This window comes from Homo sapiens, chromosome 9, assembly GCF_000001405.40.
Source record: "Homo sapiens chromosome 9, GRCh38.p14 Primary Assembly".
Lineage (NCBI taxonomy): Eukaryota > Metazoa > Chordata > Mammalia > Primates > Hominidae > Homo > Homo sapiens.
The window spans coordinates 22,745,934-22,767,134 of record NC_000009.12 but is presented as its reverse complement, the minus strand read 5'-3'; the positions used below and the strand labels follow the sequence as shown (position 1 = coordinate 22,767,134).

The 21,201-nt window shown below is 33.3% G+C and overlaps 1 long non-coding RNA gene and 1 pseudogene across 1 annotated transcript in view; both read right to left on the bottom strand.

Annotated features, from left to right (window-relative positions):
- LINC01239 (long intergenic non-protein coding RNA 1239) overlaps positions 1-21,201 on the bottom strand; it is a 178,014-nt gene that overhangs the window by 57,079 nt on the left and 99,734 nt on the right. The gene's annotated exons all lie outside the window — the stretch shown is intronic.
- On the bottom strand, positions 18,704-19,434 carry CLIC4P1 (chloride intracellular channel 4 pseudogene 1; annotated as a pseudogene).

Sequence of the window (21,201 nt, the reverse complement as noted above, 5' to 3'; positions counted from 1 at the left end):
AAACAAACAAAACACAAACCAAACAAACAAAAATCCCACCAAACCTAAATCTCTGATTTTCAAATTCACAATATGAATAATTATTAGAACAGTGAGTTTAAAGTCAACTTTCTACATAGTATTATTGTGGTAATACGTACTAATACAGAAAGAGTAAATTTTTATTCTAAGATGATATAATTTCATGTAGAAAATTCAAAATAATCTACAGACCATTATAATTCAAAAATGGATTAAAGAAGTTGGGTGGATCCAAGGTTAATGTAGAAAATTTATTTGTGTTTGTATATGCCAACAATAAACAATTATAAATAAAAATTTAAAATATGATTAATAATTTCATAAAAATTCACATAGTAATGATGCAGTAAAAGATATACAAGACTTTTATTCTAAAAATGTTGAAATGTTATTTGGAGAAACTAAAGAATACTTAAAACATTAGAAAGTTTATGAAAGTTCAATATTGTTAAGATGCCAAATTACTAAATATTGATCTATAAATTTAATATAGTTGCAATCAACATGTCAGCAATTTTTTTGGTGAAGATTGATGAGCTGATCATAAAACTTATATAGAAACAAAAGTTCCCCCAAAAAACGAAGACAATCTTAAATAGCAAAGAACAACATTAGAGGTCTTATATTCTCAAATTTCAAGACATGATAAAGTTATATTAATTGAGGAGTTAATTGTGCATTGTTAGACAAATAGACCAATGGACAGAAAAGAAAACCTAGAAATATACCCACATATTTCCAGTCACTCCAATATAGTCACCTAATTAGAGCAAAAGAGGATGGACTTTTCTGTAAGTGACAGTAGAATGTTTGGTTATCTATATGGAAAAATTATGAACCTTGAGATTTACTTCATACTATTCTTAAATATAAATGTGAATTTGATCTTAGACCTAAATCTAAAATTAAAGCAGTCAAACTTGTGTGGGGAAAAAAAAAAACAGAATATATTCCTGACTTAGGATTACGCAAAGGTTTCTTAAACAGGAAAAGCAATGACAACAAATATAAAACTCAACTGAATTACATTAAAATTAAAAACTTCTGTTTCTCAAAATCATGATTAAGAATTGAATAAGCAAGCCACAGACTGGAAAAAAATATTTACAATACAAGAATCTGGTAAAAGGCTTATATCCAGAATGCATAATACACTCCTACAAAACAATCAGGAAGAGGTAAACAATCCAAATTTTAAAATGGCAGAGATGATCAGGCAATTCACAAAGTAGCATATTCAAACCAAAGATATATGAAAAGGAACTCAACTACATTACTATCATTATTCATCAGGAAAATGCAAATTAAATTCAAACTAAGATTATAATTACACATTCACCGGAATGTTTAAGTAAAAAATAATGAATACTAAGTGTCAGTGAAAATGCGCAGAATTTTGCTGGTGGAAAGGAACATTTTTACAATCATTTTAGAAAACTCTTTGACACTATCTACTGAAATAAAACATAGACTACTATGTCACATAGCAATTCTTCTAAGTGCATACTCAGATAAATCTGGGCATATAATCACAAAGCACATGTACAATAACCTAATAGAGCTTAATTCATAACAGCTAACACTTAGAAGCAATGCAAATGTCCAACAGCAGAAAAGATAAACAAATTGTGGTATATTCATACAAAGTAACACTGAGCAATCATATTAAAAAGAACAAACTGCTGATATAATAAATAACTTAATAAATCTCTAAAACACTAGGTTGCACAAAGGAAGCCAGGCACAAATGAATATATATTTTATTATTACAACACTATGAATTTGAAAGTCAGGGCAAAATAACCTAATTGTATTTTGTCATCCTAACCTTATACAGGGAATCCAAATTCTCATAAATTCTTGTTCCTGGTAAATAGCCATCTAGCAAGTCCTGATCCTGATTCTCAGCCTCTATTAAGGTCCAGATCAGCAACTATCCTCATGGAAAAATGGTAAGAAATCTTCAGTTGCTTCACCACTCCCTGGAGAACTTTACACCCCTCCCTGTTTTTCCCATGGATTCTTCTTCTTTTTTTTTTCATATTTAATAAAATGTTTTATTTTAAAGTTAATTAATTCATTTAATTATTATACTTTAAGTTTTAGGGTACATGTGCACAACGTGCAGGTTTGTTACGTATGTATACATGTGCCATGATGGTGTGCTGCACCCATTAACTCGTCATTTAGCATTAGGTATATCTCCTAATGCTATCCCTCCCCCCTCCCCCAACCCCACAACAGTTCCCACTGTGTGATGTTCCCCTTCCTGTGTCCATGTTTCTCATTGTTCAATTCCCACCTATGAATGAGAACATGCAGTGTTTGGTTTTTTTGTCCTTGCGATAGTTTGCTGAGAATGATGGTCTCCAGCTTCATCCATGTCCCTACAAAGCACATGAACTCATCATTTTTTATGGCTGCATAGTATTCCATGGTGTATATGTGCCACATTTTCTTAATCCAGTCTATCATTGTTGGACATTTGGGTTGGTTCCAAGTCTTTGCTATTGTGAATAGTGCTGCAGTAAACATACATGTGCGTGTGTCTTTATAGCAGCATGATGATTTATAATCCTTTGGGTATATACCCAGTAATGGGATGGCTGGGTCAAATGGTATTTCTAGTTCTAGATCCCTGAGGAATCACTGTAAATGGGTCTTTTGTTCATTAATCCTGTGAGACTGCAAGAAATTCATCTCTAGTTGTTTTTACCTCCTATCTATCACAGCTTCAAAATTTAACAAAAAATATGGAAGGATAAATTTTCTCTGTGAATGATTCTCCAGTGCTCCAATTTTGTGACTCTTCACTGTGGGACCATCAAAAATTCCTCTTGTTTTTCTGTCTTTCATAAGGATCCTGTCTGTCAGTAGGTTTGTCCTATTTCAGATTCCAAAACTGCATTCCGGTTTAGAATGACCCCAAGGGGATGCAAATTCCCAGCTCACAGCTAAAAACTTATTTCCTATCTGTAATTTTTATTCCTATAGTCCTCATTGCTTCCACCGTTCACTGAATCTTTTTTATTTTTCCCTATCAAATAAATATATATTGACAAATAAAAATTGTTTATATTTAAGATGTATCATGCGATGTTTTGATACGTGTATACATTGTGAAGTGACTACCACACTCAAGCTCATTAATGTATCCATTACCTCATATAGTTACCTTTTGTGTGTGTGGTGAGAACAGTTAAGATCTATTCTCTTAGTAAATTTCAAGTTTACAGTGCATTGTTATTAACTGTAATCATTATGCTGTCTATCAAATCTCTAGAACTCATTCATTTTATAACTAAAATTTGTACCCTTGGAACAAAATTCCTTCATTTCCCTCAATCTCTAGCCCTTGGAGACCACCATTTTACTCCTGTTTCTGTGAGTTAACTTCTTTTGATCCCATATAAAGTGAGACCATGCAGTACTTATCTTTCTGTGTCTGGCTTATTTCACTTGGCATAATGTCGTTTAGGTTCACCATATTGTCCCAAACAGCAGAATTTCCTTTTTTTCTTACGGCAAGTAATATTTCATTGTATATACGCACCACATTTTCTTTATACATTCAACTACTGAGGAACACTTAGGTTGTTTTCATATATTGGCCATTATGAATAATGCTGCAATGAACATGGGAGTGCAGCTATCTCTTCAAGATACTGATTTCAATTTCTTTTGGATATATACCGAGAAGTGGAATTGTTGGATCATATGGCAGTTCTATTTTCAGTTTTTTGAGGAACCTCCATAATGTTTTCCATTATGGTTGTACCAATTTACATTCCTACCAACAATGTACAACTCTTCCCTGTATTTCACACCATTGCCAACACTTGTTATCATTTGACTTTTTGATAATAGCCATCCTAAAAGGTGTAAGGCAATATGTCATTGTGGTTTTGATTTGCATTTCCCTGATGATTAGTGATGTTGAGCACTTTTTCATGTACCTCTTGGCCATTTGTGTGTCTTCTTTGGAAAAAAATGTCTAATCGGGTATTTTGTGTATTTTTTAAATTTGGTTACTTGCTTTTTACTATTAATTTGCATAAATTCACTATATATTTTGGGCACTATTCCCCTACCAGATATATAGTTTGCAAATATTTTTCCCTTTCCATAGGTTACTTTTTCATTTAGTTGATCATTTCCTTTACTTTGTACCAACATTTTAGTTTGGGCCAGATGCAGTGGTTCATGCCTGTAATCCCAGCACTTTGGGAGGCTGAGGCGGATAGATCACCTGAGGCCAGGAGTTCAAGGCCAAACTGGCCAACATGGTGAAACCCTGTCTGTACTAAAAATACAAAAATTAGCCAGGCGTTGTGGCATGCACCTGTAATCCCAGCTACCCAGGAGGCTGAGATATGAGAATCACTTGACCCTGGAAGGAGGAGGTTGCAGTGAGCTGAGATTGTGCCACTGCACTTCAGCCTGGGTGACAGAGTCAGACTCCATCACAAAAAAGAAGAAAAAAAAAAACTTTTTACTTTGATACAATTCCACTTTATTTTTGTTTTTGCTGCCTGTGCTTTTGGTGTTATATTTTAAAAAAATGTTACCAATACCAATGTTAAGGAGCTTTTCCCCTGTTTTCTTCTAGTTTGTTTTTTACCTTTCCAGTTCTATGGGCAAAGGATATGAACAGATACTTCTCAAAAGAAGACATTTATGCAGCCAATAGACACATGAAAAAATGTTCATCATCACTGGCCATCAGAGAAATGCAAATCAAAACCACAATGAGATACCATCTCACACCAGTTAGTCTCTTTTGTACTAATTTTTTGTATGGTTTAAATTAAGGGTACAATTTCATTATTTTGCACAAGAATATAGTTTTTCTACCACCATTTTTATTTTTTGTATTTTTTTGTATTTTTTTATTTTAAGTCCTAGGGTACATGTGCACAACGTGCAGGTTTGTTACGTATGTATACATGTGCCATGCTGGTGTGCTGCACCCATTAACTCGTCATTTACATTAGGTTTATCTCCTAATGCTATCCCTCCTCCCTCCCCCCACCCCATGACAGGCCCCGGTGTGTGATGTTCCCCTTCCTGTGTCCAAGTGTTCTTATTGTTCAATTCCCACCTATGAGTGAGAACATGTGGTGTTTGGTTTATTGTCCTTGCTATGGTTTGCTGAGAATGATGGTTTCCAGCTTCATCCATGTCCCTACAAAGGACATGAACTCATCATTTCCTATGGCTGCATAGTATTCCATGGTGTATATGTGCCACATTTTCTTAATCCAGTCTATCGGTGATGGACATTTGGGTTGGTTCCAAGTCTTTGCTATTGTGAATAGTGCCGCAATAAACATACATGTGCATGTGTCTTTATAGCAGCATGATTTATAATCCTTTGGGTACATACCCAGTAATGGGATGGCTGGGTCAAATGGTATTTCTAGTTCTAGATCCTTGAGGAATCACCACACTGTCTTGCACAATGGTTGAACTAGTTTACAGTCCCACCAACAGTGTAAAAGTGTTCCTATTTCTCCACATCCTCTCCAGCACCTGTTGTTTCCTGACTTTTTAATGATCGCCATTCTAACTGGTGTGAGATGGTATCTCGTTGTGGTTTTGATTTGCATTTCTCTGATGGCCAGTGATGATGAGCATTTTTTCAGGTGTCTGGTGGCTGCATAAATGTCTTCTTTTGAGACGTGTCTGTTCATATCCTTTGCCCACTTTTTGATGGGGTTGTTTGTTTTTTTCTTGTAAATTTGTTTGAGTTCTTTGTAGATTCTGGATATTAGCCCTTTGTCAGATGGGTATATTGCAAAAAATTTCTCCCATTCTGTAGGTTGCCTGTTCACTCTGATGGTAGTTGCTTTTGCTGTGCAGAAGCTCTTTAGTTTAATTAGATCCCATTTGTCAATTTTGGCTTTTGTTGCCATTGCTTTTGGTGTTTTAGACATGAAGTCCTTGCCCATGCCTATGTCCTGAATGGTATTGCCTAGGTTTTCTTCTAGGGTTTTTATGGTTTTAGGTCTAACATTTAAATATTTAATCCATCTTGAGTTAATTTTTGTATAAGGTGTAAGGAAGGGATCCAGTTTCAGCTTTCTACATATGGCTAGCCAGTTTCCCCAGCACCATTTATTAAATAGGGAATCCTTTCCCCATTTCTTGTTTTTGTCAGGTTTGTCAAAGATCAGATGGTTGTAGATGTGTGGTATTATTTCTGAGGGCTCTGTTCTGTTCCATTGGTCTATATCTCTGTTTTGGTACCAGTACCATGCTGTTTTGGTTACTATAGCCTTGTAGTATAGTTTGAAGTCAGGTACAACCTGCTTCTGAATGACTACTGGGTACATAATGAAATGAAGGCAGAAATAAAGGTGTTCTTTGAAACCAATGAGAAAAAAGACACAACATACCAGAATCTCTGGGACACATTTAAAGCAGTGTGTAGAGGGAAATTTATAGCATTAAATGCCCACAAGAGAAAGCAGGAAAGATCTAAAATTGACACCCTAATATCACAATTAAAAGAACTAGAGAAGCAAGAGCAAACACATTCAAAAGCTAGCAGAAGGCAAGAAATAACTAAGATCAGAGCAGAACTGAAGGAGATGGAGACAAGAAAAACTCTTCAAAAAATCAATGAATCCAGGAGCTGGTTTTTTTAAAAGATCAACAAAACTGATAGACTGCTAGCAAGACTAATAAAGAAGAAAAGAGAGAAGACCCAAATAGACACAATAAAAAATGATATAGGGAATATCACGACCGATCCCACAGAAATACAAACTGCCGTCAGAGAATACTATAAACACCTCTACGCAAATAAACTAGAAAATCTAGAAGAAATGGATAAATTCCTGGACACATACACCCTCCCAAGACTAAACCAGGAAGAAGTTGAATCCCTGTATAGACCAATAACAGGCTCTGAAATTGAGGCAATAATTAATAGCCTACCAACCAAAAAAAGTCCAGGACCGGACGGATTCACAGCCGAATTCTACCAGAGGTACAAGGAGGAGCTGGTACCATTCCTTCTGAAACTATTCCAATCAATAGAAAAAGAGGGAATCCTCCCTAACCCATTTTATGAGGCCAGCATCATCCTCATACCAAAGCCGGGCAGAGACACAACAAAAAAAGAGAATTTTAGACCAATATCCTTGATGAACATTGATGCAAAAATCCTCAATAAAATACTGGCATACCGAATCCAGCAGCGCATCAAAAAGCTTATCCACCATGATCAAGTGGGCTTCATCCCTGATGCAAGGCTGGTTCGACATACACAAATCAATAAACGTAATCCAGCATATAAACAGAACCAAAGACAAAAACTACACGAGTATGTCAATAGATGCAGAAAAGGCCTTTGACAAAATTCAACAACTCTTCATGCTAAAAACTCTCAATAAACTAGGTATTGATGGGATGTATCTCAAAATAATAAGAGCTGTTTATGACAAACCCACAGCCAATATCATACTGAATGGGCAAAAACTGGAAGCATTCCCTCTGAAAACTGGCACGAGACAGGGATGCTCTCTCTCACCACTCCTATTCAACATAGTGTTGGAAGTTCTGGTCAGGGCAATCAGGCAGGAGAAAGAAATAAAGGGTATTCAGTTAGAAAAAGAGGAAGTCAAATTGTCCCTGTTTGCAGATGACATGATTGTATATTTAGAAAACCCCATGGTCTCAGCCCAAAATCTCCTTAAGCTGATAAGCAACTTCAGCAAAGTCTCAGGATACAAAATCAATGTGCAAAAATCACAAGAATTCTTATATGCCAATAACAGACAAACAGAGAGCCAAATCATGAGTGAACTCCCATTCACAGTTGCTTCAAAGAGAATAAAATACCTAGGAATCCAACTTACAAGGGATGTGAATGACCTCTTCAAGGAGAACTACAAACCAGTGCTCAACGAAATATAAGAGGACACAAACAAATGGAAGAACATTCCATGCTCATGGATAGAAAGAATCAATATCATGAAAATGGCCACACTAATGGCCCAAGGTAATTTATAGATTCAATGCCATCCCCATTAAGCTACCAATGACTTTCTTCACAGAATTGGAAAAAACTACTTTAAAGTTCATATGGAACCAAAAAAGGACCCGCATTGCCAAGACAATCCTGAGCCAAAAGAACAAAGTTGTACGCATCACGCTTCCACCGCCATTTTTAAAACAGACCATTCTTTGCTTATTATGTATTCTTGGTGACTTGTTGAAGATTAGTTGACCACAATTGTGTGAATTTATTCTATTCTGGGATTTCTGTTATGTTTCCTTGGTCTATGTGTCTGTATTTATGCCAGTACTATACTCTTTTGATGACTAGCTTTATAATATACTTTAAAACCAGATAGTATGAAGTCTCCAGCTTTGTATGTCTCTTCTAATTTTGCTTTGGCTATTTGAGGTTGTTTGTGGTTCTATATGAATTTTAGGATTGCTTTTTCTATTCATGTGAAAAATGTGATTGGAATTTTGATGGAGATTCATTGAATATGTAGATAGCCTAATTACTAACATTAAAATATGTAAAAGTTAAAATATCCTGGCAAAGGCAAATATATAGGTCAATTCAGAATACTCTAATACTGTAAAGTTGGTTTATAAATCATTTTTAACTTCAATATAAAGTTTAAAAGACAGAAGTGCTAAAAATAACATTCGCTACAATATTTTATTAATAAATACACAATAAAAGATATATATTGTGATATTAAAAGCATAACATTTGAAGGTGGAAGAAGAAGCAAAAATGTCAAGTTTTTGTATGCAATTAAACTTAACTTATTTACAGCTTAAAATAGACTGGTATAACTGCAAGGTGTTGTACACCTCTTAGTAACCACAAAGTAAAAACCTATAGTAGATACACACACACACAAAGTAAATAAATATAGAGAAAGAAACTGAAACACACCACTGAAGATCATCAAATCATAATGGAAAATAACCTGAGTCAAAGAAAGGAAAAGGGAAATACAAATGAGTCCGAAAACAATTAGCAAAATGACGCTAGTAAGTCCTTACATATCAATAATTACTTTAAACATAAATGGATCTTAGAGAGTCTAAGTGGATTAGAAAAAAAAAAAGACCTAAGTATATCCTGCTTACAAGAGACTCACTTTAACTTTAAGAATATACATAGGCTGAAAGTGAAGGGATGGAAAAATATTCCTACAAATCTAAACCAAAGAAAAGAGGTGTAGTTTTATTATTTTCAACAAAATAGAGTTCAAGTCACTGATGCTTTTAAATATTTATATCTTTGGTCATTTATCAGGGTTGTTTTTAGTTATTCCCCATGGAGGACTGACTTTCAAAATCCCATCATTCATAGAAGTAAAAGTTATCCCATCCATAATATTTTGAACACAAAGCTGACAGGATTTCTGCTGGATTAGATGTGAGTTTTGAGAGAATCAAAATATGACTTCAAGTTTTGAGTTTGAGCATTTAACAGAGGACAGTTGCTATTTACTGAGAAAGGTACAGTAACTCAGAAAAATAGAAATAGGCAAATATGTAACAGGAACATAAATTAATCAAAATAGAGCAAAGTGCTAGAGAAAAGATCAAAAAGGAAGTTCTTTAAAAGACTGATATAATAAACAATTTTATAAAGATTGAACAAGAAAAATGTCAGATGCCAAGGCTATCAACAAAGACACTGCAAACAAATATATTAAGCAAAGTGTATGAACAATTTAAAGCAAATTTGAAAATGAATATGAAATGAAAAATTATCTAAAACAATGTAACTGATAAAAACCAATAGATATATAAATGAGACACTTTGATATTTAGACTTCATAAATTAGAAACTTTAATATACTTGAATAGAAATATTTACCCACCAAGAAACCATAAACCTGAACCAGTTTGTGTTTTTCAAAATACTTTCATAATAAATTATACCAATGCTATATAATATCTTCTAGTAGAAAACACCTTAAAATACACTTTGTAAGCATTACAATAATATAAAAACCACAGGCTCTCAGAAGACCAGAAAATTATAGGCCTACCTAATTTAACATGAGAATTTTAAGCAAACTAACAGCAACTGAATCCATTCACATATCAGCAAGAGACCACCTCTTCAGTCCTCAAAAACAAGAAAAAGCAAGATAATTGCTGAAACCTGAAGGAGACCCGAGGATTAGATGTTATTAATAGTTCAGTGTTAACTTCATGATGTTGTTTGTGATACTGGATTTTGTAGGAGGAAGACTTACTTGTAGAAAATGTACACTACATTACTAGGAAGTTATGTGAAATTAGGTTAGAAATTTACACTTAAGAAAAATTATTTGTAGTGGTTTTGCAACCTTTTTATAAATTTCAGATTTTTTTTTCTCAAAATAAAATTTAAAAACTAATGGGTATGAATAGACAAGCCACAAGCTGACCAGTGAGATACAGTACTTTTACTTTTTCTACTTCCCCTTTCTTCAGAAATTATTTTCAAAGAAAAAGCAGCCTTCTTTTGATTTGGAGAAGACAAGTGAATAATGATGGCAGATGGAAGAGATGGAAAGAGGTTCTTAAAGCAGGCTATATCTTTGATGTGACCCTTGACTTTCCACCTCTTGAGACAATACCTTGTTTCTAAGCCTCTTTTAATATGTATCTCTGGTACTTATAGAACATTAATAGTTATATCAGTGCTTAAAATAATTCAAATCTCTCATAATCAAATAAGCTAAAATTGGGACTAACAGTATGTTGTTAAAACTGATAGAGAACAAATCGGAAAAATATTAGGTAATAAAGAACAACTCTCTAAAAACACATTTGATATTATAAATGAAGTGGTCTGTTTTGGAGGAAACTAGATATTATTCAAAAATAAAGACTAAATGATAAAATTGAAGAAGTCTGAAGTGACTCAAGAATAAAACCTGATAATCTCATGGAAGAAATTGGGAAATATTATTTTTAAAAATTCCTAAAGATACATTGGTGGAGGCTCTTTTACTTGTGAATTTTCTTAAATTTAAGAAACATTTAATTCCCAGGCCAGACACACTGATTCAGAATATAAAAAATGGTGTCAAGCTACACAATGTAACTCATAATGACAGAACACAAAATCTAACAAAGAACCCCTTGAAATAAAACTACAGGATAATTGTACTTAAAATATATACATCATCAAATGGAAGTGAGTTAAAATCAATATTTCAAAATAATTTTTTACTGATATTGATAAAGATTTACAACAGCAGTCTGCTCGCATAAAATATATTAATATAGTAGTTAATATAATGATGAAGGAAACTGTATATTACAGTTGACAATAAGTACTGTCAACTAGGCTTCGTAAATTACAGATAGATAATTCCCTTAACATAATCTTTCTCTCCTGTCCTCTCCTCTTTCCTTTTCCTCTCTTCTTTTCCCTTGGAGCTAGTCCCACATTTAATAATACAAAAAGTTTAAAAGCATTTGTTTTAATATCAAAAATAAACGATGATGGTTTCTATCCCTTTCAAAGGACACTTGAACCTGCAAAGAGAGTTATCTATCCAGAGAGCTATATAGGAACTGAAGCATAGAGGATTGGAAATTTGCTATAAGCAAGTCATTTATAACTAGGAATCCTAGAGAATATCTAATTCCAAAAACAATTTGTTGCATTCATTTTAGTGAACTGAGCTTAAGAAACTGTTACAAGTTTTCTGCCGCTAAATATAGAAGATTATGAAGACTGATACTAAGAAATCCAAGCAACAGCCTGCAGCTTCATTACAAATACCACCTGATTGAACCATTTTGAGGGGCTGTCTGTCTTCAGTACTCATGTGTGCTATATTTTAGACTGAAGTGGGAGAAAATTAAGGAACTTTCAAAATGAAAACTGATTTCAAAAATTACAGCCCAGAAAATAACAAAAAGAGCTGTCATGCTCTCTAGCAGCTTTTCCTTTAATTTCTGCAGAATCTTTTGTCTTCAACCTTTGAGCCTTCCTATTGTCTCTATTGTAGTCAAAAGAGGCCTTTTTTCTTTAGTGCAAGTGCTAGAAAAGACACATGATGATTTTGTGCTGATTAGAGGAGAATGTGCATGTACAGCTAACTTTTGCAAGACCACAAATTGTGCAAGTTAGAATACATGAAAGCCTGAGAAAAACGACAACCAATAAATTAGTATTAGCCAAAATAAAGTTATATTATATTGTATGATAAACACATAAAAGATAGGCCTAATTCATTAACCTGTTATCAGAAGGGCAGTTATATAAAAAACTGTGGCCAAATATCTTTGGACAAATGAAAATGATAGTGTCTCAACCTCCATATTTGAATGGGTATACCCAAGAATATGAAGAAAATTTTGTGATGAACAATTTCTTAAAGGCTGGTGTTAGTTTTAAAAATTCAAAACTGTATTATTTGTTTTAATTTAAAGTTTGTGTATTGTCAAAACCTATATCATAGACCAAAGTAGAAGGGAAAGTATATATTGTTGCTTGTTTGTTATCATTTCATTCATTCATTCACTCATGTATTTATTTACTAAAAAATAATATATCAAGTACATCTATGTGCCAGGCATTGTAAGTAAACACAAAGAGGACTAATAAATGCCATCTACCTTAAAAGAATATAGTTGACATGTTACATACATTTAAATAGATTTGTTTTATTAACAAAACATGCTATAAGAGGACCCTATATTAAAGTATAGTGAAATCGTTTACCATCAAACTGAAGATTTTTGTTTAAGAGGAAAAAAAAGTCACTTCATTTGTTTTTATCAAAGAATTAAGTGTTCTTAATAATGAAGGTAGACAGATAAGAAATGTAAATGAGACAGGCAAATAGAAGGAAGGAAGTAAATAAAAACAGCCTCAAATCACAAACCCAGAAAGTTGAAAAAAAATCATTGATGTTTTCTTGGAGTTGTGTGTGTGTGTGTGTGTGTGTATGTGCATATACAGATAGTGAGTGAGACGAATATGCAGATGACATCTCGACTGGCTGTAAAGAGTGGGTCATGCTTTTCTTTTTAAAATCTGTAGATGTTAACCCATTGTCTAAAATATTGCTGTAGAGAAATAGAAGGTAAAAGACTAGACTTCTAATACCTCTCACCCTACCTTAGTTCACCTTTCTTCCTGAGTATCTGAATAATAATTCTTCTTAAAAACATTTCTTCAAGATTCAATAATGGAAAGAGAAAACGTTTTGATTTGCAAGACGCACTCTCAAATCTTTCTGGATCATGGTTGGATTTTTTATTTTAAAATCTAGTAATTAAATATTTCAGGGGTTACTTATTATCTTATTTAACATTTTTACCCACTATAATTTTCCTTCTATTGGTAAATTGCTGATCCAGGGACACAAAGTATGGAATACTGAAATATATCTTCAATTAGCATTCTTTTAGGTTCATGTTTTTAAAATATGCACTAGGTAGGCTTATCTCAAAACTCCTTCCTAAATAATTCAACTTATAGTTTCTTGATGTTAAGTTCCTTAATAATAATTTTTCCTAAAATTTGTTTCTTTAGGCAATCAATCCTCTATAATTGAATTATATGTTTATATTTACCTCAAATCATTTTTTTCCTGGGAATAAGTTTTCTTGAATGATACTTTTAATGTACACAAAATGAGTTTTCCTTTTGCCTAAGTTATATTTTCTTCTAGACTGGACTCGTTTTTTTTTTTTTTTTTTTTTTTTGTCGTATAATGGTATGTCCCTAATTTCTTTTTATTTATTTTCTTTTACTTTATCAATGTTCTTGTTATAATTAATAGAACATTTCTATATGGACTATGCCATTTTCATTCATCTTTCTCATGCTTGAGAAGCTATATTTCCTGATTTAGTGTAAGTACACTCTTGACTTTCTACTACATCTGATGACTGCTTTGGATTTTGTTTTTTTAACTTCAGTTTGAAGACAAATATGGCTGCTTTCCATTCCTTTTCCCCTAGCTTGAGGGCATGAGGCAGGTGGATGTTTATCTGAGAGTTAAAAAGGTTTTGTGCTGCACGTGAGATGTACCATCAATTCTGAGGTACTGTTAAATACCCCAGTACTCATTCCACTGGGGAAGGAGAGGGCTCTTATCCTATTCCGATGATAGGAGGAGGTGGATAAATATTGGTTTGGCTTTTCTCCTGGAACAGGAGGACACAGGATACTTACTTCTCTTCCTATTTTCTTGCCATGTTTCACACATTTCTCCACAGTAACGATTTCCATCACTCTTTAGTGAAACAAGGTTAGAGATAAATTAGAAAAATAAATTCTGTTCCCTTCCTTGCAGTTTTGGAATATTTCTGAGAAGGCTCAAGATTTTGTTCTCATCAATTCAACTTCAAGGGAGAGGGTAAGCTCTGTGAACCAAGTCATGCTGTATTCCTCAGCTCTGCCTCCAAACCCGGATTTTATTCCTTGCCCAATTATTTGCTGCTACGGGGGGATTTTATTCATTTTCTTATTATCTTAGAAAATTCATTTTGTTGATATTTTCGGAGGGGGGTCTAAATCTTTTAAATCATTTTAAGAATTCTTTTTCGCATGACATTATACACAAAACAATTTTTTTGAAAAAATAGCTTTATGACATGCCATAGAAGTAAAACGATGCATCAATTTCTAAATATTTATACTAAGAATAATTAAGCACAAAGATACAAATGCTATAAAAGGAGTCTCATTAAGAGACTACAGAAAACTTTTAGTCTACTAGGTCAGAGAAATTAGTCTCTATCATAATATGACTCAGTCATCTTTCTGTAATAATACCAATTTCATTTCATTTTGGAGGACAAACTACAACCAACCATGTGTAGAATAAATAAAAACAAATTTATAATATAAAATCCCCGAACAAAGGCAGCACATGTTCATTAATTTGCAGCCTTTTATAACACCCTGAGCATGTGGGATACTGCACAAATAGGAAATAATGGAGAACTAAAGAAACATAGGAAATACTGGAGTGGGGGTGTTAGATCTTTATGAGGATTATAGAGAATGGCTTTAAGCAGAAGAAAGAGCCACCACATAGATTAATATATGTGTTTTATCTCTAATGCTTTCTATCTCACCAAATGGTGTTTGAAAAAGGAGAAATCTTAAATTATAAAATCAAAGGATGCTTTTGAATATTCAACTTGGAGTTAGAAAAAACTGAATTCAAACTCCATATGTGTAGATTTGGGTATTTTGTTTATGCTATCTGAGCATTAACTGCAGAAGGGGCAAAATGGAAATGATGCTTATCTTACAGAAATATGGTGAAAATTGTGTGGCATAAATATGAAGAACTGAGCACAATGTTCGACATATGTAAATATTCAATAAATCATGCCATCTAATAGCATTAGTGGTTGGTTGAATGATTTGTAATTACTGTAACTACTTATGTTAGTATTATTCTACCATCTGAATACTCTTTAATTTTCTTCCTCTCTCCCACCCTGCATTCTGTCAGCAGTGGTTACAGCTTTACAAATGGATGGATTGAGTTACAATGCTGCTGGTATGGCGAAGTCTGCCTAAATGAGGCATTGTGTTTTATGGTCCATCTTTGTGTAGAGTACAAATAATTTAAGTAGTAAAATTTACTCTTTAAAATAAAATTATCAGCCAAAAATTAACAGGAAGAAATTAAGTGATAGCCTAAAATCTACTCTCCATCTAAGTAGGTTTTATCCTTTGGAAAATATATCTTCCTGGATACTTCAATCTTAATGAGTCTGCTTCCTTGGATTATCAAAAAGCCAGAAAGCAGAACTAAGTAGCACTCAGTTTTTGCATGTTTATAAAAACCTTATCTAGTTTCAAAATTATAAACTAGGTCAATGCTGAACAATCTATACCACTGGCTTAGTAAACATGTATTTCATTTACATCTGTATAGTAGTATAGACAGAAATTATTTGTTTTGAAACCCAAAGTACATTGTCAACCCTAGGCAAAATTGTAAAAGAAGTCTAGTTTTTCTTGCCTCAACCTCTACTCTTCTAGTTTTGGCCCATTTTACTATTTTCTGTTGCTGTGTATTACCTCCGTGTTTAACAACCACTTACTGCAATGAACTGGTACCCTGGCCTGCCCTTCCTGACTGTCTCTACTGAGCATTTTAATTCTGCCCATTCTCCTTTTTCGCAATTTCAAAAATTGTTTGTTGAATGCATCATTCTCCCAGAGTTCTGCACTTAATTTTCAAGGTAAGAGCTAGCTAATGAGTTAGTTCCTGTGTTTGTTCTCCACCTTTATCTCAACTACTTGTAAGCGCTATGATGCCAGGAAATTTGTCTAATATTTTAGAGCCTAAGTATCAAGCATGGTATTTTTATATTGATAATTTATTTTTATTTTTATACTAAAGGTAAATGTTTTGAAATGAGGTAAATTTATTATCCCCAGTTGTTATAAACATGAGAAAACTAAGATTCAGAAATATATATAAATTTCAAGATGACACAGACACCAAAAGACAAACGTACTGTGTTATAAAGTTATCTGATTCAAAAGCTTTTAGATTTTTCATTATACTATGGTAATACTCTAATGTGTTAAATCAAAGGTTGATACATAAAAGACTTTGAGCCCCATGGCAGACAATTCAAAATGTTACTTTATGGTTGTTTGATTTTGCAGATGGGCAATGACTACTTTATCAATAATTAGTCTAGCCAGTGTATGTCCAAATATAAATATTAAATTACTTCTATACTAGTCAGAAGTTCCTAGTACTTATGTCATTTGGTTTTCTGTTTGTTGGCAACTTTATATTATTTATTTCTATTTCTTCAACAAATATATATTTTCTGCTATCTTATGTTCTTATGAAAAATACTTTATGTTCACCCATTAAAAATATGATTGTGCTAGAAATACTGGCACTCCAAATTTTTCTGAACTAGAATAAATTAGTGTGATGTGGAATAATATTTAAAAGTTCAAAATGTTTTGCCTATTGATTAATACGTGCCAGAGAAGCAAAATTGTTTTGGCTGGAAAAGTAAAATCATAGATATTTTGGACATTCCCCAAAACAAATGCCTCACTGCCTTTATCACAAGTAGAATAAAATATGATCATATTTGTTTGGAAGGGAGGATCTTTCTTTTTACTTCAGAAATTATATATATATATATTTACCCCCAGTTGTCATTTATTTTCATGAGGGAGGAAAAAGAATCCTTTATGATAGTGAAAATATACATTTTTTTAAAATACAATAGCTGTCAGCAATACACTGGTTTTGATATTCCAAAGAGAAAAGTAAATACTTGCATTCTATAATAAGCTTTAATTTGCCTGTTCAAGAAATTCTAAAGAAAATACTCCAATTCTATTCAACATTATGACTTGAGGAGTTGAAATTTTTCCATGATAAAAATATAATTTTTGTAGCCCAAACCTTGTCTATTTATAAAGGATGGAATTTTTAAAAGTCCATATATATCAATGAATGCTCCTGTCTCTTTGAATTCAATGCTTAATTCAAATTAATGTAAGAAATTGGTGAATCATTAAATGATGAAATTTGTATCAAAATGTTCATTAAAAATACATTTCTATTTCCTCTCCATTTTCACTTTCCGGATATTTTCTTTTTTTTTTTTTTTTTTTTTTTTTGAGACAGGGTCTCACTCTCTCACCCAGGCTGTAGTGCCATGGCATGATCTTGTCTCACTGCAGCCTCTGCCTCCCAGGTTCAAGTGATTCTCCTGCCTCAGCCTCCTGAGTAGCTGGGACTACAGGTGCACGCCACCACGCCCAGCTAATTTTTGTCTTTTTAGTACAGACAGGGTTTCACCATATTGGCCAAGATGGTCTCGATCTCCTGACCTCGTGATCTGCCTGCCTCAGCCTCCCAAAGTGTTGGAATTACAGGCATGAGCCACCACACCCAGCCTACTTTGTAGATATTTTCTAATTGACTGTAAGCGCACAGAAATAAAAGCTACCTACATGCAACTCTGGAGAGATTCAAAACACAACAGAAGTAAAGTTAACATGCCTAAATCCTAGAGTTGATCTACTCAGTTTAAGAATAAATGTGAGAAATCTCTTAATTGTATACAGATTGCTCAAGGATTTAAAGATAAATTGTGAAAACCAAAATTATCAAGAAATAAAATCTTATTTGAATTTTATCACAAAAGTTAACAGTCCTAGTAAAAGAAGACAACAGAACTGTATAGAAAATCTGCATCTACATCAAAAAAAGGGAAGTTTTATCAACTAGAATGGAAGAGAGCTTTCCAACTCCTGAATACAAAAATTTCTCAGTATCCCCCGGAAAACAGACTTTCTATTCAGACTCCAATCTCTTCATCGAAGTAAAACACAACAGGTGTTTAAATTAAGAGGAATGGATTTGTTAACTGTAAAAATAAAATCAGATTTTTCCATAATGTCAGTTCATATACTCCATGAACTGTCTACCATGAAAACTTTTATGTCCCAAATTTCTCAAGATTTTAAGCTATGGTCTTTCCACAAACATGCAATGGGGTTAAAGCATGTTGTTGGATCTTTTTCCTAGCTAGCTTTTGACCATTTACCAATTTCCATTTCATTTGACTAACTTCCCTGATAAAGTAGTATTTGTCTTTCTACAGAGAAAAATAATTCTGTCTTCATTAAAATCACAATAGACATGCCTTCCTCGAACATTTAGAGGGATAAAATGATTTTAAAATAATACTGCTTAGGAGTGTATATCTTAAGATAACTACTATACCTTGTCTATGCTTGATCCTAATCTTCAATAATTGCATGTTCATGCAAAATACAATTTCTACTCTACAGGAAGAGGAGTAGCCTGTTAGGAAAAGCAAATTCTTAGAGCAAGACATGAACACATCTCTTTCAGAAACGCGATTTTACTTGGTGAGTCTTTTGGCTACATCACTATATGCTATTTCAACCTCCTCATCACTGGGACAGGTACTGGTGAACTCATCCCTACTGTATGCATTAGTTAGTTAGGTATCTCCAGATGACAGTCATTTCTTTTGGAATATCAAAGTTGCGATTTTTTTGGCCACAACCTTGACAATATGCAGCTTTGACAGCAGATTGCAATCAGCTAATGTCATTTCATTGCTGTCCAGAAATTTACGTTTAGAAAACTTAACGTCCTCCATACTATTTTCATCAATTTCATCAGGGAGAGGAGAATTCAGATATTCATCCAGTTTCTGCAGGGTTTTCAGGAGACCCCTCTCCAGTGCTTCATTAGCCTCTGGCCTTGAATTCTTGATATATGCAGAGAATTTGGCAAAGATGTCCATTCCAGCAGTATTTGATTCTGGGTGTTTTGGTGAAGGCTTTAAGTACGTGGGAGGGCTTAAGACTTCTTCAAGAAATTCCTCAATCTTATTTACATCTGTTTTGACTTCACTGTTGAAAGTTATGTTCCCCTCTCTTTAATTTGGAGACACTCCACCACAGACTTTTCACTTTAGAGGTAGCTTGCCATCTCTCAGGAGCCCTCACCATTGTGTCCATTCACTGTGTATAGATGGCAGAATTTTTGAGTTGTAATGTTTAATTGTTAAAATACTAGCCATGACTTTATCAGGCAGCCCCAAACTGGTGCATAATGCATGGTACAAGGGATATTTATGTATTTTTTGGAATTTTGTAATATTTAGTAACAGTATATGAAAGTATTGCTATTGTATCAGAAATATTGTTTCAATTTAATCTATCCTGGATATATACTAAAGAATATTACCATCAGAGAAGGGAGCTTTCTACAAAAGTCACTACAGATTTTGCTATATTGCTTTGTAGATAGATTTTTACTTTTGCCTGAAAGCATTTATCCTTCATATCAATTGTAACATCTGACACCATGTAGGAGCTAAACATTTAGAGGGAGGGAGGGTTCTCTCAAGATCTTCCTCAAGCATTTATCTTTATAAGAGAAACTGATGGGCACCGAATACTGTCTAAATATGTTTTGATATATGTGTTTTGCCCTGTGCCATTCATTTGGAACATTGTTGCTTTCTTCCTTTATTTTAAAAAGCTTGTTTTTAGGTAATCATAGAGCTGGCTATTTATACATCTTTTGAGCAACACTGCATAAACTGATATTCAGATGATTTAGCTACAGCAGTACAATGATTAGCAATGTAAAAATTAACACAGAAATTAACCTAAGGAATGAAGGGTGGGTTTGTCAAAATATCAAGTAAATTTTTGTTTCTAAAGCATATGTAATGTAGATGATATAATGAATGCATTATTTATCCTATATATATTTGTTTCTAAAGCACATTTAATGTAGATGATATAATGAATGCATTATTTATCATTCATATATATATATGAATGATATATATATATATCATATATATATGATAAAACACAGGTCATCAACTTTCTCATTTCACCTCATTTACCTTGTATAGAAGATTGTTCATTCCTTTTGGACTAAGTTATAGTTATGGTGAGTGTGTATTTACTGCAGTTTTGCCTGATCTCACTCACTGCACTTGCTTGAGTTAAATTTTTCTACAGCCATGTTGAGGAATAGCACTCCACATGTTTTTGTTTTGTTTTGTTTTGTTTTAATTGAAGCCCTAAACCAGAAATTATATATAGCTTTTAGGCCATAGCTTTTTTTCCTCTCACCAGTTCTAAAATCTTAATCATTCAATTTCTCACGAAGTGTTTCAGAAATATATACACAAATGATTCTATACGTAAGAAATGGTTCTCATGTTGACAGCTGCACCAGTAGATTGTGATGTAATATTACTTTTAACCTTCATGTCATGTGTTATTGTTGTTTTAATAGTTTATTGTTCTTGTCATTAATCTCACAAAATATCCAGAGAGGTTTTTGGGTTTTGTTTGTTTGCTGCTTTTGTTTTTCTGTTTGCCAGCGAACTATTTACTCTATTACATTTTGCTTAAAAGAAAAAGAAAAATAAACTCAAACAGTATTTGAGATATGTATACCTATATAGGTATAGTTATAAACATTTCCTGTGTTAGTCTCTTTATTCAGGTAAAATTTATATACACTGAAACACATAGATCTTAAGAGTTCAATTCAATAAGCTTTAAAGAATGTATTCACTCTGATAGTTAATCCCAGTCAAAATATGACAGACAGGCAACCACTGTACTGATTTCAATCAATATATATGTTTTACTTTCTTTTGAAC